The sequence below is a fragment of the Homo sapiens genome, chromosome 1 (assembly GCF_000001405.40).
Source record: "Homo sapiens chromosome 1, GRCh38.p14 Primary Assembly".
Classification (NCBI taxonomy): Eukaryota; Metazoa; Chordata; class Mammalia; order Primates; family Hominidae; genus Homo; species Homo sapiens.
In genome coordinates, this window is record NC_000001.11 from 27,245,057 (window position 1) to 27,264,247 (window position 19,191).

Consider the following 19,191-nt stretch of genomic DNA (forward strand, 5'->3'; position numbering starts at 1 on the left):
GCAGAGGCTGGCTTGGAGCACAAGACCCTAGATCTCCCAGTCCAGTGCTTCTTCCTCAGTACCATGTAGTATTCTGCTTCACTTCTCCCTTGTTAAATGGGGATTATTATCGTACATGAATATTCATAGCAGCATTATTCATAGCAGCGTTATATTAGCTTTCTAACTTCCTAAAAGGATTGTTGCAAAGTTCAAATTAAAAGCTTGAACAAAAGTGCTTTGATAGGTATAAAACATTGTGTGTAAGGCAGTCATGCCATTATTCATTCAGCAAATATTTATTGGTGCCTGCTAAGCTTACATCACTCCTGGAAGACCAGTGGGATCAATGGATGAATCGGATGAAGAGCAGGCCCTCAGCATGCTTTTAATCTTCTAAGAAAGAGAAGCCACGTAAATAACCACAGCTCAAGGTAGGAGACAGATGAAGGAAAGGCTAAGAATGGAATTTTCTTTCCATAACCTGTGATTTTGAGGTAGAGAAAAGAAAGGGTTTTTTTTGGTTTTTTTTTTTTGTTTGTTTGTATTTTTGAGACAGAGTCTTGCCCTGTCACCCAGGGTGGAGTGCAATGGCGCAATCTCGGCTCACTGCAACCTCCGCCTCCCGGGTTCAGACGATTCTCCTGCCTCAGCTTCCCGAGTAGCTGGGATTATAGGTGCCTGCCACCATGCACAGCTAATTTCTGTATTTTTAGTAGAGACGAGCTTTCACCATGTTGGCCAGGCTGGTCTCGAACTCCTGACCTCCTGGTCCACCCGCCTTGGCCTCCCAGAAAGTGCTGGGATTACAGGCATGAGCCACTGTAATCCTATGGGACATGCTATGGGAGGTAGCATGTCCAGAGGAAAGAGAATACAGATGTTTTAGGTTCCATCTCTGGTCTGCTGCTAACCAGTAGTGTCTACTTAAAATCTCAGCATAGTGTCATCGGAAGGGGTTTTGTAGCTTATCTCAGAGTCCACCTCTCATTTTACAAACGGCAGAATAGACTGAGAGAGCAAAGGGTTTAAGGTATTTCTTCTTTATTGACATATAATTCACGTACCATAAAATAGACAGTCTCTTAAATTATACAATTCATTGGTTTTAATATAGTCACAAAGTTGTGCAACTTGTCACCACTATCTAATTCCAAAACATTTTCATCACCTAAAAAAGAAACACATACCCTTGAGCTATCACATTCCTCCCCAACACTCCCATCTCTTTCTGTCTCTGTAGGTTTTCCTATTCTTGACATTTCACATAAATAGAACCATACGACATGTAGTCTTTTGTGACTGGCTTCCTTCACTTAGCAGAATGTTTTGAAGTTTCTTCCATGTTGTTGTATGAATTAGTACCTCATTCCTTTTTATGGCTGCATAATATTCCATTACAGTGGATATTAACACATTATATTTATTCATCAATTGATGGCCATTTGGGTTGTTTCTAATTTGGGCTATTATGAATAATGCTGCTCTGAGTATTCATGTACAGCTTTTTGTATGGACATGTGTTTTCTTTCCTTTTTTTTTTTTAGACTGAGTCTTGCTTTGTCACTCAGGCTGGAGTGCAATGGCACGATCTGGGCTTACTGCAACCTCCGCCTTCCAGGTTTAAGCGATTCTTCTGCCTCAGCCTCCTGAGTAGCTGGGATTACAGGTGCCCGCCACCACGCCCGGCTAATTTTTGTATTTTTAGTAGAGATGGGGTTTCACCATGTTGGCCAGGCTGGTCTTGAACTCCTGACCTCAGGTGATCTGCCCACCTCGGCCTCCCAAAGTGCTGGGATTACAGGCGTGAGCCACCACGCCCAGCCATTTTTTTTTTTTTTTTTTTTTCGAAACAGGGTCTCACTCTGTCACCCAGCCTGGAGTCCAGTGCCACAAACATAGCTCACTGCAGCCTCAAACTCCTGGGCCTAAGTAATCCTCCTACCTCGGACTCCCAAAGTGCTGGGATTACAGACGTGAGCCACCGCACCCAGCCTATTTCTGCATTATTATTTATTTAATTAATTAAACTTTTTTTTGAGACAGAGTCTCCCTCTGTTGCCCAGGCTGGAGCAGAGTGGCATGATCTCAGCTCACTGCAACCTCTGCCTCCTGGGTTTAAGCGATTCTCCTGCCTCAGCCTCTCGAGTAGCTGGGATTACAGGTGCCTGCCACCACGCCTGGCTAATTTTTGTATTTTTAGTAGAGACGAGGTTTTACCACGTTGGCTAGGCTGGTCTTGAACTTCTGACCTTAAGTGATCCACCTGCCTCAGCCTCCCAAAATGCTGGGATTAGAGATGTGAGCCACTGTGCCCAGCCTTGTGCAGGTTTTTTATACAGGTAAACTCATGTCATGGTGGTTTGTTGTGCAGATTATTTTGTTACCCAGGTACTAAGCCTAGTACTCAATAGTTATTTTTTCTGATCCTCTTCCTCTTCCCACCCTCCACCCTCAAGTAGGTTCCAGTGTCTGTTGTTCCCTTCTTTGTGTCCATGAAGTCTCATCATTTAGCTTCCACTTACAAGTTAGAACATGCCATATTTGGTTTTCTGTTTCTGCTTTAGTTTGCTGAGGATAATGGCCTCCGGCTCCATTCATGTTCCTGCAAAGGATATGATCTCATTCTTATGGCTGCATGGTCATTCCATGGTGTACATGTACCACATTTTCTTTCTTTTTTTTTTTTTTTTTCTTTGTGAGATGGAGTTTCACTCTTGTTGCCCAGCCTGGAGTGCAATGGCGTAGTCTCAGCTCACTACAACCTCTGCCTCCCGGGTTCAAGTGATTCTCCTGCCTCAGCCTCCCAAGTAGCTGGGATTATAGGCACCTGACACCATGCCTGCCTAATTTTATAGTGTTAGTAGAGACGGGGTTTCTCCACGTTGGCCAGGCTGGTCTTGAACTGCTGACCTCAGGTGATCTGCCCGCCTCGGCCTCCCAAAGTGCTGGGATTACAGGCGTGAGCCACTGTGCCCAGCCTGTACCACATCTTCTTTATCCCATCTGCTGTTGATGAGCATTTAGGTTGATTCCATGTCTTGCTTATTGTGAATAGTGCCACAATTAACATACTGCACAGTGTGTGTGTCTTTATGGTGAAACTATTTATATTCCTTTGGGTATATACCCAGTAATAGGATTGCTAGGGCAAATGGTAGTTCTGTTTTTAGCTCTTTGAGGAATCTTCACACTGCTTTCCACAATGGTTGAACTAATTTACACTCCCACTAACAGTGTAAAAGTGTTGCCTTTTCTCTGCAACCTCACCAGCATCTGTTATTTTTTGACTTTTTAATAATAGCTATCCTGACTAGTGTGAGATGGTATCTCATTGTGGTTTTGACTTGGATTTCTCTATTGATCAGTGATACTGAGCTTTTTTTCATATGCTTGTTGGCCACATGTATGTCTTCTTTTGAAAAGTGTCTGTTCATGTCCTTTGCCCACTTGATGGGATTGTTTTTTTCTTACACATTTGTTTAAGTTCCTTATAGATGCTGGATATTAGACCTTTGTCAGATGCATAGTTTGCAAGTATTTTCTCCCATCCTATAGGTTGTCTGTTAATGATACACTTTAAAATGATTAGTTTCATCTTATGTGAATTTCACTTAAAAACTTTTTATTATTATTTTTTTTTATTCAGAGTCTTGCCCTGTCTCCCAGGCTGGAGTGCAGTGGTGTGATCTTGGCTCACTGTAGCCGAAACCTCCTGGGCTCAAGCAGTCCTCCCACCTCAGCCTCCCAAGTAGCTGGGACTGTAGGTGTGCCACCACGCCCAGCTAATTTTTTAACTTTTTTTAGAGACAGGGTTTCACCATGTTTCCCAGCTGGTCCCAAACTCCTGGGCTCAAGCAATCTTCCCACATTGGTCTCCCAAAGTGCTGGGATTATAGACGTGAGCCACTGCACCCAGCCTTAAATTTTTTAAAAAGAAACCATATCCCGGCCCAGCTCAGTGGCTCACACCTGTAATTCCAGCACTTTGGGAGGCTGAGGCAGACAGATCACTTGAGGCCAGTAGCTCAAGACAAGCTTAGCCAACATGGTGAAACCCCATCTCTACTAAAAATACGAAAAATTAGCCGAGCATAATGGTGCATGCCTGTAATCCCAGCTACTCCGGAGGCTGAGGCATGAGAATCACTTGAACCTGAGAGGCAGAGGCTGTAGTGAGCCAAGATGGCACCACTGCACTCCAGCCTGGGCAACAGAGTGAGACTGTCTCAAAAAAAAAAAAAAGCCATATCCTTTAGCTGTCACTTCTCTATCCCCCCATTCCCTTCAGCCCTAAGCAACCATTAATCTACTTCCTATTTCTATTCTATTTTGTTCTATTTTATATAAATGGAATTATGCAATATGTAGGCTTCTTTCACTTGGCATAATATTTTTAGAGTTCCCCTATGTTGTAGCATGTATCAGTACTTCATTCCTTCTTATGGCCAAATAACATTCCATTGTATGGATATACCACATTTTGTTTATCTATTTATCAGTTGATGGATGTTTCCACCTTTTGGCTATTATGAATAATGCTGCTCTAAACTTTTTTTTTTCTTTTTGAGACTGAATCTCACTCTCACTAAGGCTGGAGTGGCATGATCATAGCTCACTGTAACTTCAAACTCCTGGGTTCAAGCAATCTTTCTGCCTCAGCCTCCTGAGTAGCTAGGGCTGTAGATGCATGGCCACCACACCTGGCTAATTTTATTTTTTGTAGAGACGGGATTTTGCTGTGTTGCCCAGCCTGGTCTTAAATTCTTGGCCTCAAGTGATTCTCCCTCGGCCTCCCAAAGCGCTGGGATTACAGGTGTGAGCCAGTGCACCTGGCCTTGCTATAAATACATTCTTGCACAGATTTTTGTGTGGCATTTCTTCACTTTTAACAACGTCACGATTTTCCTTCTGATCTTGCGTTTCAAACCTAACAGGTGATAAAGACATCCTATACTCTGCCCCTGCCATCCTACAATGAAATACCCCTTGTCAGCTTCATCTCTGGTAGGGAAATTGGGGCGGGGGAAATGTTATAATCCATGCTACTGAGCAAATATAACAGGGGTTACCAGGTTTTAGTAGAATTCAAATTTAGCTAACATTTGTTGAGCACCTACTACAATCTAGATACGATACTGTTATGTACTTTCTTTTTTTCTTTTTTGGAGATAAGAGTCTCTCTGTATCCTCTAGGCTGGAGTGCAGTGGTGCAATCTCGGCTCACTGCAACCTCCGCCTCCCAGGTTCAAGCGATTCTCCTGCCTCAGCCTCCCAAGTAACTTTGTATTTTTAGTAGAAACGGGGTTTTGCCATGTTGACCAGGCTGGTCTCAAATTCCTGACCTCAGGTGATCCACCCACCTCAGCATCCCAAAGTGCTGGGATTACAGGCGTGAGCCACCACACCCAGCCCTGTTATGTATTTTCATATATATTTTATCATGTATTCACAACAACCCATTAAAGTAGGTGTTAGCATCCCCATTTTACAAATGAGGAAATTGAAACTCAGAAAATTTAAGTAACTTCCCTATGTAGGTACTAATTGGTACACTGAGGGGGAAGCTGGAATTCAGGCCCAGGTGCCTAAGTATTATATGTTTTTCTCTTTCTGCTGCGTTATCCAGAGCCAAACAAGGACTATAGCACACATGAAAGGAGTGGTTCTTCATATTTGGATATTACCATTCAATTCTTGGTTCTAGATGAGTGATCTTCACAAATGTACTTTGTTCTAAGTCATGTTAACCTCAGGCTATTATATTACTGATCACCTTGGCATTATGATTAGACTAATTCCTCCAAATCGAGCTGTTAATTGACTTGTTTTTTTTTTTTTTCTTTTTTGAGACAGAGTCTCACTCTGTCACCCAGGCTGGAGTGCAGTGGTGTGATCTTGGCTCAATGCAACCTCTGCCTCCCAGGTTCAAGCGATTCTCCTGCCTCAGCCTCCTGAGTAGCTGGGATTACTGGCGTGCACCACTACTCCTGGCTAATTTTTTTTTTTTTTTTTTTTTTTTTTTTTTTTTTTTTAGTAGAGACAGGGTTTCACCATATTGGCCAGGCTGGTCTCAAACTCCTGACCACAGGTGATCTGCCCACCTTGGCCTCCCAAAATGCTGGGATTACAGGTGTGAGCGACCACACCTAGCCAGACTTCTATTTTCTTGTTAGTATCCTTTAAAATCATAGAGATAGGCTTATAGAAGAAAGTTTTCCAGTATTCTAAGTTAAAAGTTTATAGAAATGATGGGGTTACATGGTGATATGCTAGGCATTTTAGAGCTCCAGGAATAGAATACCTTTTGGGAGGTGTAACATCTGCATAGCAACTCATATTTTCTTTGTAACATTGTGTCTTGTGTCTTCTTCTGTGCCTTAAGTATTTTTATATTTTTCATAATCTCAGCTCCCAGAAATCAGCTGCTTTCTTTCTCCTTAATTCATTGAGTATCTACTAGAGCTGGTCCACAATATCCTAACTTATAGTAGACCTTTGGGCCGGAGCACAGTGCCTCATGCCTGTCATTCCAGCAGTTTGGGGAGCTGAAGCAGGAGGATTGTTTGAAGCTAGCCAGGCAGTCAAGACCAACCTGGGCAACATAGCAAGACCCTGAATTTAGGAAAAAACAATAATTAGCTGGGAATGGTGGTGCATGCCTGTAGTCCTAGCTACTTGGGAGTCTGAGGTGGGAAGAAGGACTGTGTGAGCCCAGGAGTTCAAGGTTATAGTATGCTATGATCGCACCACTATATAGTGGTGATAGAGTAAGACCCTGTCTCTATTAAACAAATCAAAATCTGCCAGGTGTGTCAGCCTGGCCAACATGGTGAAACCTCATCTCTACTAAAAATACAAAACTTAGCCGGGCATGGTGGGGGCATCTGTAATCCCAGCTACTTGGGAGGCTGAGGCAGGAGAATTGCTTGAACCCGGGAGGCAGAGGTTGTAGTGAGCCAAGATCGCGCCACTGCACTCCAGCCTGGGTGATAGAGCAAGACTCTGTCTCAAAAATAAAAAAAACCTACCAGGTGTGGTGGCTCATGCCTGTAATCCTAGCACTTTGGGAGGCTGAGACGAGAGGATTGCTTGAGCCCAGGAGTTGGAGACCAGCCTGGGCAGCATGGTGAGGTCATGTCTCTACAAAAAATTTTAAAAATTAGCTGGGCATGGTGGCACACACATGTGGTCCCAGCTACTCAGGAGGGTGAGGTGGCAGGATTGCTTGAGCTGGGGAGGTCTAGGCTAGAGTGCAGTGATGCAGTGATTGCACCACTGCACTCCAGCCTAGGCAACTGAGCGAGATCCTGTCTCAAAAAACAAAAATAAAATTAAAAAACCTTTGTCCTCTAGCTCGAGAAATTTTTTGTTGAGCTTTTATATTCTGCAGACAAATGAGCCATTAATGTTATTAGAGCTTCAAGTATGCAAATCAGGGTATATTGTTAACTGTGCTCTCTTTAGAATGAAGAATACATGTTAAAGGTTACTTGTGCCCAGGCACATCTCAGCACTTTGGGAGGGCAAGGCAGGCAGATTACTTGAGGCCAGGCATTCGAGACCAGCTTGGGCAACATGGTGAAACCCTTTCTCTGCAAAAAATACAAAAATTAGCCAGGCTCGGTGGCACATGCCTGTAATCCCAGCTACTCCGGAGGCAGAGGCATGAGAATTGCTTGAACCCAGGAGGTGGAGGCTGCATTGAGCTGAGATCGCACCACTGCACCCCAGCCTGGGTGACAGACCGAGACTCCGTCTCAAAAAAAGAAAAAGAAAAAAAAAAAGTTACTTGTGGTCTGTTATAGTCCCTGTGGTCCCTTTTTTCCATTACAGTTTTCTAAGTTGTCTTTCTTATTCTACTATGATGTGTTTAGTTCATTTCCCTCACTGTCATTTTTGTGCTTCTAAGATGTAGGAACAAATGAGTATAGAGAAGGTTTAACTTATTAATTCATGTTGTTCTTTCTGATTTTTTTTTTTTTTTTTTTGAGATGGAGTCTCACTCTGTCACCCAGGCTGGAGTGCAGTGGTGCAATCTCGGCTCACTGCAACCTCCGCCTCCCGGGTTCAGGTGATTCTCCTGCCTCAGCCTCCCAAGTAGCTGGGACTACAGGCACGTGCCACCACACCTGGCTAACTTTTTGTACGTTTAGTAGAGACAGGGTTTCACTGTGTTAGCCAGGATGGTCTTGATCTCCTGACCTTGGCCTCCTTGATCTGCCCACCTTGGCCTTCCAAAGTGCTGGGATTACAGGTGTGAGCCACTGCGCCCGGCCGGCCTCCTCTCTGTTTCTGCTTCTTCTTCTTTCTTCTTTCTTCTTTCTTCTTCTTCTTCTTTCTTCTTTCTTCTTCCCCTCCCCCTCCCCCTCCCCTCCTCCTCCTCCCTCCTCCCTCCTCCTCCTTCCTCCTCCTTCCTCTTCTCTTCTTCCTCTTCCTCTTCTTCTCTCTTTCTTCTTTCTTCTTCTTTCTTTCTTTCTTTTTTTTTTTTTTAACCGACAAGGTCTTGCTGTGTTGTTCAGGCTGGTTTCGAAGTCCTGACCTCAAGCGATCTTCCCACTTCTGCCTCCCAAAATGCTGGGATTATAGGCGTGAGCCGCCACATTCAGGCATCTGCTATATTTTCAAAGTTTATCACAGTGCCTGGCAAAATAGACATTGAAAATTTTATTTTATGAATTCTTAGTCACTAATTTCAGCCTTTTTGCCTCTTAGCAGAACTGAACATTATGTAATTTGCATACTGCACCAGGTAGAAATCCCCTTGATGTAGTCTTTTCTAGTGTTTAATCATATATGTAACTTTATTGTGTCAATCCAAATCTCTCATTCATGTCATTTTATATCTGAGCTCAAAGCCCTCCTTAAAATAATGCTTTTAAAATTTGATCATGTTTAAATCTTCTCATCCTCGAATAACTATTGATTTATTGATCTGATTATTTGTGTTTGAGAGACTTTTGGACTGAGGTATGAAACTTGTTATGCCCCTTGGTAGATTTAAGGGTATTTCCTTCCCGATGTGAACCTTTTAAATAATCTCTACTTAGAAGTGTTTCCAGTTTTAAAAACAAAAACAAAAAAAAGAAAAAAACAAAATGATTTTTTAAAATAAAGTGTTTCTAGTTAGTTTGTCTGCCTGTAAAAGCTTGTGGAAAGGCACTGAGTCCCTTTTCTTGAGAGGAGAGAAGATAGGCATGCTCCAAGATGAGCTCTCTACCAGTATGCTATCATTTCTTCTCAGGATGGGAGCAGAAATATTCACCAGAATGCTAACCAGGCCAGGCGTGGTGGCTCACGCCTGTAATCCCAGCACTTTGGGAAGTAAAGGCAGGTGGATCAATTGATGTCAGGAGTTCAAGATCAGCCTGACCAATATGGCGAAACCCTGTCTCTGCAAAAAATACATAAAAAATAGCTAAACATGGTGATGCACTCCTGTAATCTCAGCTACTTGGGAGGCTGAGGCACGGAACCGCTTGAACCTGAGAGGCAGTGGTTCCAGTGAGCTATCGCGCCACTGCACTCCAGCCTGGGTGACAGAGTGAGACTCTGTCTCAAAAAAAAAAGAATGCTAAGTAGGCATCAGTTGTATTAAATTTTGACTTTTTTTTTGAGACGGAGTTTCGCTCTGTCATCCAGGGTGGAATGCAGTGGCGCAATCTCGGCTCACTGCAACCTCCGCCTCCCAGGTTAAAACGATTCTCCTGCCTCAGCCTCCCCAGTAGCTGGGATTACAGGCATGCACCACCACGCCTGGCTGATTTTTTTTGTATTTTTAGTAGAGATGTGGTTTCACCATGTTGGCCTTGAACTCCTGACCTCAGGTGATCTGCATACCTCAGCCTCCCAAAGTGCTGGGATTACAGGCGTAAGCCACCGTGCCTAGCCAAATTTGACATTTTGTTTTTTTTTTTTAAACCTGTCTACCAATTTGATCCCAACTTCCATTTTACCATTTACCTGAATTGTGGTTTCCTGCTTGTCTGGTTTCTCTTTTCCCCCCATTTTTGTTCCTTTTAGTATTTCCAAGCCACGCACCAGTCTTAGCTAAAAACCCCTTCTCTTTGATACTGAGCTTTCTTAGTATGGCTACTATGTGTTTCATCTCATTATTCCTCCTTGTCTATCACAGTGCTTGGTGCTAGGTAAATACCCCATTAACATTTTAAGAAAATTAATGAATAAGTCATGGCAATTTAGTGGGCTCTTTTGGTGGATTCTCATAGTGATTGCTACTCTAGGAAATTACATACCATAGTTGTCAAGAGAATGGACTTTGGAATCACATGGCCCTGGGTTTGAGTTCCTGTTCCATCTCCAGTTTTAGCTGTGTAATATTGTGAAAATTGTTGCATGTCTATGAATATGTTTCCTCATATGTAAAATTATGACAGTAAGAGCATCTACCCTACAAGCTTTTTTTGTTTAAGACAAGTGCAGTAGTGACAAGAGGGGAAACAGTAGAACAAGGAGTTCAATATGTAACTGTGAATAATCAATTGAGATAACTTGGTACCTTTGGACCAGCCCGTAAAACTTTTTTTTGCTGAGATGGAGTCTCGCTCTGTCGCCCAAGCCAGAGTGCAGTGGCACGATCTCAGCTCACTGCAACCTCTGCCTCCCAGGTTCACGCGATTCTCCTGCCTCAGCCTCCTTAGTAGCTGGGATTACAGGCATGCTCCACCACACGCAGCTAATTTTTGTATTTTTAGTAGAGATGGGGTTTCACCATGTTGGCTGGGCTGGTCTTGAACTCCTGACCTCAGTTGATCCACCCATCTCAGCCTCCCAAAGTGCTCGGATTACAGGCGTGAACCACCACACCCGGCCAAAACTTTTTGAACCACTCTTCTTCTGGGGTCTTAGCACTCTCTCCCTGGAAGTGGTTTTCCCCCAGTTCTTTGCTGCTGCTTGTCATTCATGTTTCAGCCTAAATGTCATCTTCTCAGAGAACCCCTCTCTATCAGGCAGGATTTGTAGTTGTATGCAACAGAAACCAACTCTGGCTGATTATTGAAAAGATATTAAGGAAATTCACAAAACATCAGGGAAGGTCATAGAGTCATGCTTGAAGAATGCTAAAACAAGAGAAACTGGGCAATAGGCAGGACCCACGACTAAAATCATTCATAGACTCAGCCTGGTGAACACACTGTTGCCACCACTACTTACACAGCTAACACCACCTGCTGCACTGGACTTAATGGCCACTGTGGCCACCCCTTGCTACACTCCAGGTGAACTCTCTGTGGTCCTCTGACTCTGAGACACTAGATCCCAGTTCAGGGTTTAGGGGTGATGTGTCTGGTTGGCATAGCCTGGGCCATATATTCACATTGTAGCTGCAAGGGAGCCTCAGAAAGAGAATCTCAGTCACCTCCTTTCTCACTTTATAGTGGTAAGGGGCTCTGCTTCCCACTAGACTCAAAAGGGGAATTCCCAAAATATAAGAAGCGTTCAAATGCTGAGAAGCCAGAAAATTCGACAAATGTCCACTACAGTTTCTTTGACCTGAAGTCTAAAAGTAGCTCACCAGTTATTGTCACTTCAACTTGTGTTATTGCCATCATACACTTTCCACTACTGGATATTTTCTTATTTTTATTTATTTCATTGTTTATTGTCTGTCCCTTCCTGCTAGAATGTAAGTACCATGAGCAAGGACATTGCCTGTTTTGCTCATTGATATATCCCTTCATTCTGTGCCAGGAACAGCACCTGGCATGTAGTAAAAGCTCCTTATGTTCATTTGTTGAATGAATGACTGTAAAACCCTCAGCACAATGCCTGGCACATAGTAAGTGCTTAATATTTGACAACATATATTTCTTTCTTTTTTTTGAGATGGAGTCTCACTCTGTTGCCCAGGCTGGAGCGCAGTAGCACGATCTCGTCTCACTGCAAGCTCCGTCTCCCGGATTCACTGCCATTCTCCTGCCTCAGCCTCCCGAGTAGCTGGGACTACAGGCGCCTGCCACCACGCCCGGCTAATTTTTTGTATTTTTAGTAGAGACGGGGTTTCACCATGTTAGCCAGGATGGTCTTGATCTCCTGACCTCGTGATCCGCCCACCTCGGCCTCCCAAAGCGCTGGGATTACAGGCGTGAGCCACCGTGCCCGGCCTGGCAACATATATTTCTTAGTAAATAAAAATATTTATATTCTTAAAAACCTTTTGACTTACATTGTTTCATTTGAGCTCCACAGCAGCCTTCTAAGGAAAAGGGTATTGGGGGTAAGGAATGAGCCTTTTTCGGGTGAAGCGTACGTAACCCCGTCAGTGTTTGTTCCAATGCGTCCTATGCCTGTGAGTCACAGGAATGAGTGTCTACTTGGAAAGATTAAGAGACTTAAGCAAGGCCACACAACTGTTCTTTCTTAATACCAGATATACTCACTTCTTTGGTGTTATTTCCAATGTAATCATCCTCACCTCATATTCTTGGTGCTTGTGGGGAAATTACTGTTGTTGTTTGGCTTTGACCAGTATATCACAAAGCAGAGCTATAGATGCCATTTCAGGCTAGTGTTTAGCTTACATTAATTTGTTCAAATTCACATTTTTAATCTGATGGCCAAAGACTCCTGCAAAAATCATCATGAAACTATAGTTCTCAGCTGGTATTCCTGGTGTTCTTGATGCTTACTCTTAAAAATGCCAGCGACTGCCATATCTCCCTGGTAATGACACTAAGATGGCAATGCTGAATGGTTTCATGTTGTAAGGGAAGGTTCTTGCCTGTTTTTTTGTTTGTTTGTTTTTTCTTTTTGAGACAGAGTCTTGCTCTGTCACCCAGGCTGGAGTGCAGTGGTGCAGACTAGGCTCACTGCAACCTCCGCCTCCCGGGTTCAAATGATTATCCTGCCTCAGCCTCCTGAGTAGCTGGGACTACAGGCGTGTGCCACCACACCTGGCTAATTTTTGTATTTTTAGTAGAGACGGGGTTTCACCATATTGGCCAGGCTGGTCTCAAACTCCTGACCTCGTGATCCGCCCGCCTCGGCCTCCCAAAGTGCTGAGATTAAGGCATGAGCCACTGCGCCTGGCGGTTCTTGTCTTTTAAAGAGCTTATGGTCCTGCCAGGCACGGTGGCTCATGCCTGTAATCCCAGCACTTTGGGAGGCCAAGGTGAGAGTGTTGCTTGAGCCTAGGAGTTTGAGACAGCATGGGCAACATAATGAGGCCCCATCTCAATTACAAAAAAAAAAAATGGCTGGGCACTGTGGCTCACACCTGTAATCCCAGCACTTTGGGAGACTGAGGCGGGCGGATCACCTGAGGTCGGGAGTTCGAGACCAGCCTGGTCAACATAGTGAAACCCTGCCTCTGCTAAAAATACAAAAACTAGCTGGCGTGGTGGCAGGTGCCTGTAGTCCCAGCTACTTGGGAGGCTGAGGCATGAGAATCACTTGAACCCAGGAGGCAGAGGTTGCAGTGAGCCAAGATTATGCCACTGCACTCCAGCCTGAGCAACAGAACAAGACTCTGCCAAAAAAAAAAAAGAAAAAAAAAGAAAAGAAAGGGAGGGAGGGAAGGAAAGAAAGAAAGAGCTTGTTATCCCAAAATTGATTATGGAGGCGTTAGCCCCAAAGAACTCGGACTGAATGAGAACATCTAATTTGGCAGCGAGTTTTTTTTATTGTCCTACTGCATGCCTAGCACTAAAGGAAAACAAAATCTGCAATAACATAATGTTTAGGTGTCGAGTCTTCTTTTGTGGTTAAATGACAGAGGAAAGGAAGGAGTCTGCTCACAGATCAGGTGAAAAACGTGATTTCAGTAGAGGAGGCCAGCTGGTGAGAGATTGAAAAGTAGCCCTGTGAGGTCCTAATGACTGGCAGGGTTGGCAGAGAGAACTGGTAAACCCTGAGAGCCGTCTTCTGAGCACAAAGGGCCATCATTGGGAAGAAAGACTAAACTTCTGTGTGGCTTCAGAGGTGGAACCAGGACTAAAAGGTGAAAATGCCAGGAGGCAGAACTTTCCTTGAAAGTCTAGTATTTTTAAATCTGATTACAAATTAGTGTGCTTTTATAGAATAATTTTGAAAATATTAAAAAGTAGAAAAAGTCAGTCATATCATTAACCAAAGAGAGCTATTGTTTTCTTTTTATTATTTTACTTATTTTTAATTTGTTTAGAAACAGGGTCTTGTTCTGTCACCCAGGCAGGAGTGCAGTGGTGTCATCATAGCTCACTGCAGCCTCAAACTCCCGGGCTCAAGTGATCTTCCGACCTCAGCCTCCTGAGTAGCTGGGACTACAGGCGCATGCCACCATGCCCAACTTTTTTTTTTTTTTTTTTTTTTTTGGTATAGATAAGGTCTCACTTTGCTGCCCAGGCTGGTCTCTAACACCTGGTTTCAAGTAGTCCTCCCACCTCAACCTCCCAAAGTACTGGGATTACAGGCATGAGCCACTCTGCCCAGCCATATTTTGAGTTTTGTTATGATAAAATTGTTTTCCTTCTTTAGAGGCAGAGTCTCGCTATGTTGCCCAAGGAGGGCTTGAACTCCTGGGCTCAAGTGATTCTCCTGTCTCAGCCTCCTGAGTAGTTGGGACTACAGGTGCACAGCACTGCACCACCACACCTGACTTTTCTTTTTCTTATGGCAAATCCTCAGAAATAGAATTGCTTATTATTTTTAACAATCAGAGTTGTATAACACAGGAACAGGTTGCTTCAACAAGTGGTAAGGCTAGGCCAGGCGCAGTGGCTCATGCCTGTAATCCCAGCACTTTGGGAAGCTGAGGTAGGCAGATCTCTTGAGCCCAGGATTTCAATACCAGCTTCAGCAAGATGGCGAGACTCCATCTCTACAAAAAAAAAAAAAAGAGAGAAAAGAAAAAATTAGCTGGGAGAGGTGGTGTGCACCTGTGATCTCAGTTATTCAGGAGGCTGAGATGGGAGGATCACTTGAGCCTTGGAAGTTGAGGCTACAGTGAGCCATGATCATGCCACTGCACTGCAGCCTGGGTGACAGAGTGAGACCCTGTCTCAGGAAAAAAAGAGTAGTGAGACTAAAAGCCTACCTACCAGGATTTTTTTTGTTTTTTGTTTTTGTTTTTTTGTTTTGTTTTGTTTCGAGATGGAGTCTCGCTCTGTCGCCCAGGCTGGAGTGCAGTGGCGCAATCTCGGCTCACTGCAAGCTCCGCCTCCCAGGTTCACGCCATTCTCCTGCCTCAGCCTCCCGAGTAGCTGGGACTACAGGCACCCGCCACCACACCCAGCTAATTTTTTTGTATTTTTAGTAGGGACGGGGTTTCACCATGTTAGCCAGGATGGTCTCGATCTCCTGACCTTGTGATCCGCCCACCTCGGCCTCCCGAAGTTCTGGGATTACAGGTGTGAGCCACCGCGCCCGGCCCTACGAGGATGTTAAAGAAGGATTTCTTTATTAGGTTGGGTCTTGGACACGGTCACCATTACATTTCCTTTACACTGTTTAATTCTGTGAATCTACTGGAGACTTGAGAGTTCTGTCTGTGATACTGATTTGGTTTCGGGGAGAGCCAAGCTGAGGATCAGAGATTTGAAGCATAACTAAAAGTTCAGACGAGCTGCCACAGATGCCTACTGAGCAAGTGAAACTTGATGTCTTTCTAGCTTTGCCTTGTTCTAACTTTAAGGATATGCTACCATTATCCTTCATACTTATACACAACCTGCCATTTTCCGATGAAGCATAACATATTTCTTCCGTGTTTGTTCCAATGCTTGTTGGGATGTGCTACTGTTCTCCCCACCCACTTCACCCATTCCAGAGGTTTTTCAACACTATGGAGCAGGGCCAGCCCACCATGCCACAAATGACAGGCAAGGGCCACTTCACTGGGTGGGCTGTTTTAGGGGTGGAATTAGGTCTTGGGAGTCACTTTATTATCCATCCTCCAAAGTTTGATGATTTTTTTCCCCCAGGTAATTAAATGTGTATTTTGTGGACCTGGGCTTGGCTGGAATGCTCAGGGGTCCTGAAGATCCTATTATAGCTTCCTTCTGTTGAACCATTAAGAAAAGATGGCGAAAGTCAACATAACTAGAGACCTCATCCGTAGGCAGATCAAGGTAAGCAGCCCAGACTTCTGCACCAGATCATGAGATCTTTTCTTTCCCACAGATTGATTTTACAGATGAAAAAACTGAAATCTATAGTCTGTGACTTGCCTAAAGTCACGTAGCTAGTTAGTGGCAGACCCAGGACTAGAATCAAGGTCTCTTTCTCTCCATCTTGTATTGTCTAAGAACATGGATTTCATGGAGACTCTGTCCACATACTTGTGCCTGGGCTGCTGAGATTAATGCAGGCTGGCAAGGGAGGGGAGCTGTCAATGTGTTGTGCAGATACATACACATCCTTGTGTTGGGCAGGTGGTGCACAAGAGCAAATATAACTTCTTCATGTTGCTCCAGCTGCCAAGTTGTATATGTAAGAGATCCTGGGAGAGTATTAGTCCCAGTTCAGCTTGTATTCTCTTTGAGGCTCTCCTGTGCTAAAGCCTGTCCTCTGCAGTTTGTATGTAGAAGACACTCTGATACCTGTGAGATAAATGGATGACTGGGCAGTCAAGTTCAGTTATTGAAGTAGCCCCAGGCTTTGTTAGAGAAACCCTCAGAAAAGGAGCCATAGAGGTTTAATGCAATACATTAAACCAAGGCATGATGTGCTCCAGCACTGGTAAGAATCCCCAGCTGGAGTCAGGAGCTTCATCTCACCACTGCCCTAATTAACTAACTATAGGTCTTTAGTCATTTTACCTCCTGTGCCTCAGTTTTATGTTGTTAAATGATGATAATGGCCATCTGCCTGTAGGCTGACCTTGAGAATGAAATCTGAATGAGCTTGAGAAAGTTGTTTGACAAATTAAGTGCTTAAAAAGTACTAAAGTACTAAAAAAATTTTTTTTTTTTTTGAGACAGAGTGTTGCTCTGTTGCCCAGGCTGGAGTGCAGTGGTGTGATCTCAGCTCAGTGCGACCTCCACCTCCCAGGTTCAAGTGATTCTCTTGCCTCAGCCTCGCAAGTAGCTGGGACTACAGGCGCATGCTACCACGCCCAGCTAATTTTTTGTATTTTTAGTAGAGACGGGGTTTCACCGTGTTACTCAGGAGATCTTGATCTCCTGACCTCGTGATCCACCCACCTTGTCCTCCCAAAGTGCTGGGATTACAGGCGTGAGCCACCATGCCTGACCTAAAAAAATTTTTAACTAAAAATTTTTAAAAAATCAAGTGGCATGCAGCATAAGCTGTGGTCACCATTTAGAAGGATTGAGTATGTGCCTCTACATGAGCCATGTACTTGGCATATTTGTGTATTTTTCCCTGCATCCCTGAATCCTTTTATTTATCTTATTTTTATTTTTATTTTTTGAGATGGAGTTTTGCTCTTGTTGCCCAGGCTGGAGTGCAGTGGCATGATCTTGGCTCATTGCAACCTCCACCTCCCAGGTTCAAGTGATTCTCCTGCCTCAGCCTCCCGAGTAGCTGGGATTACAGGCACGTGCCACCATGCCTGGCTAATTTTGTATTTTTAGTAGAGATGGGGTTATACCATGTTGGCCAGGCTGGTCTTGAACTCCTGACCTCAGGTTCCTTGGCCTTCCTTGGCCTCCCAAAGTACTGGGATTACAGGCATAAGCCACCATGCCCAGCCCCTGAATCCTTTTAGCTTTGTCCATTTGTGGAAGTTTTTTGTGTGTGATTTCATTAGACTGAGTGGTCCTCAAAGACAGGGGCCATTTCCTAGAGGCATGGAATCAGCAGGGGTTTTTTTTCCCTTTGTGTGCAATATGTGTCCTAAAGATGATGCCCACCCTGTCCAACCTAAATATGGAACTATTCCCCATTGTTTCCAATTTTTCTTCTTTCCTTTTTAAAAATTTTTTGCTTTCTTTAAAAAAAAAAATGAACGGCACAACTTAGTGCTTAATTATATACTACTGTCTTCTATTCTTCTCTAATCCTTGCCCCAGAATAATACAAAGTCCTGTAGGCCAGTTCCTTGTTGTCTTCTTTAGCTCCTGTGGTGCCCAGGAAAGAGCTGGATATATAATAGGCACATAATAAATCATATTTAATTGAATCAATGAAATCACGAATTTGTTTCTGTCCCCTAGGAGCGGGGTGCCCTGAGCTTTGAGCGGCGCTACCATGTCACTGACCCCTTTATCCGGCGGCTGGGCCTGGAAGCAGAGCTGCAGGTAAGAGATCCAGTTTGCACCTTAGATGCAGATGGCCTGCTGTCCATTCTCTGCCTGCAGAAATCCTCTTGGCCTTATCAAGGCATAAACAAGTGTTTCTCTGCAGGCCATATCTGACAGTTACTTCTCCTTCAGTAGACAACTAAATCTGAATCAAGATCAGCAATTGACATAGTCACATATAAATTATTATTTTTTTATTTTATTTTATTTTTTGAGATGAAGTCTCGCTCTGTCACCCAGTCTGGAGTGCGGTGGCACGATCTCTGCTTACTGCAAGCTCTGCCTCCCGGGTTCACACCATTCTCCTGCCTCAGCCTCCCGAGTAGCTGGGACTACAGGCGCCCATCACCATGCCCAGCTAATTTTTTTGTATTTTTAGTAGAGACGGGGTTTCACCATGTTAGCCAGGATGGTCTCGATCTCCTGACCTCGTGATCCGCCCGCCTTGGACTCCCACTGGGATTACAGGCGTGAGCCACCGCGCCTGGCCTTAAATTATTTTTTTGGACATATTATTTGCTTTAAAAAAGTTTGTTCAATTCCATACCACTATTTTTACTATTGGCTTGGGCAGTGAATACAGATTTCCTACCCGTATACAGGAATATAGAATTTATAGTGTTTTCATATACATATACATATACGTATACATATACATATACATATACACATAATGTATACGTGCACACACACACAAACACACACACTTTCTTATTTTAGCATCAAAGCAATGCTGTAGGGATGTAGACTGAGAATAGGTGTTTAAAAAAAAAAAAAGACCGGCTCATGCCTGTATTCGCAGCACTTTGGGAGGTCAAGGAGGGTGGATCACTTGAGGTCAGGAGTTTGAGACCAGCCTGGCCAACATGGTGAAATCCCAACTCTACTAAAAATACAAAATTAGTCAGGCATGGTGGTGCATGCCTGTAATCCCAGCTATTTGGGAGGCTAAGGCACGAGAATTGCTTGAACCCAGGAGGCGGAAGTTGCAGTGAGCCAAGATAGTGCC

General features: G+C 44.0%; 1 protein-coding gene across 10 annotated transcripts in view, besides 1 other annotated feature; it reads left to right on the forward strand.

Moving 5' to 3' along the window:
• The window catches only part of WDTC1 (WD and tetratricopeptide repeats 1), a 74,196-nt gene that overhangs the window by 10,616 nt on the left and 44,389 nt on the right, over positions 1 to 19,191 (forward strand). For 8 of the 10 annotated variants that reach the window (XM_047449749.1, NM_001410767.1, XM_047449760.1 and 5 more), the window contains exons 2-3: positions 15,900 to 16,046; positions 18,096 to 18,179. In XM_047449749.1, coding sequence (XP_047305705.1) covers positions 15,999 to 16,046; positions 18,096 to 18,179 — 132 coding nt within the window. In that variant the 5' untranslated portion in view covers positions 15,900 to 15,998. Of the gene's footprint in view, positions 1 to 135; positions 414 to 15,899; positions 16,047 to 18,093; positions 18,180 to 19,191 lie in introns of those variants that run through there. The other 2 variants (XM_047449750.1, XM_047449768.1) reach the window with 2 other exon arrangements.
• Positions 7,741 to 7,890: an enhancer, noted in NCBI's record as "active region_540". NCBI's record gives its function as "activates an Ori minimal core promoter by ATAC-STARR-seq in GM12878 lymphoblastoid cells {active_cell/tissue: GM12878}" and the evidence as "EXISTENCE:reporter gene assay evidence [ECO:0000049][PMID:35858748]".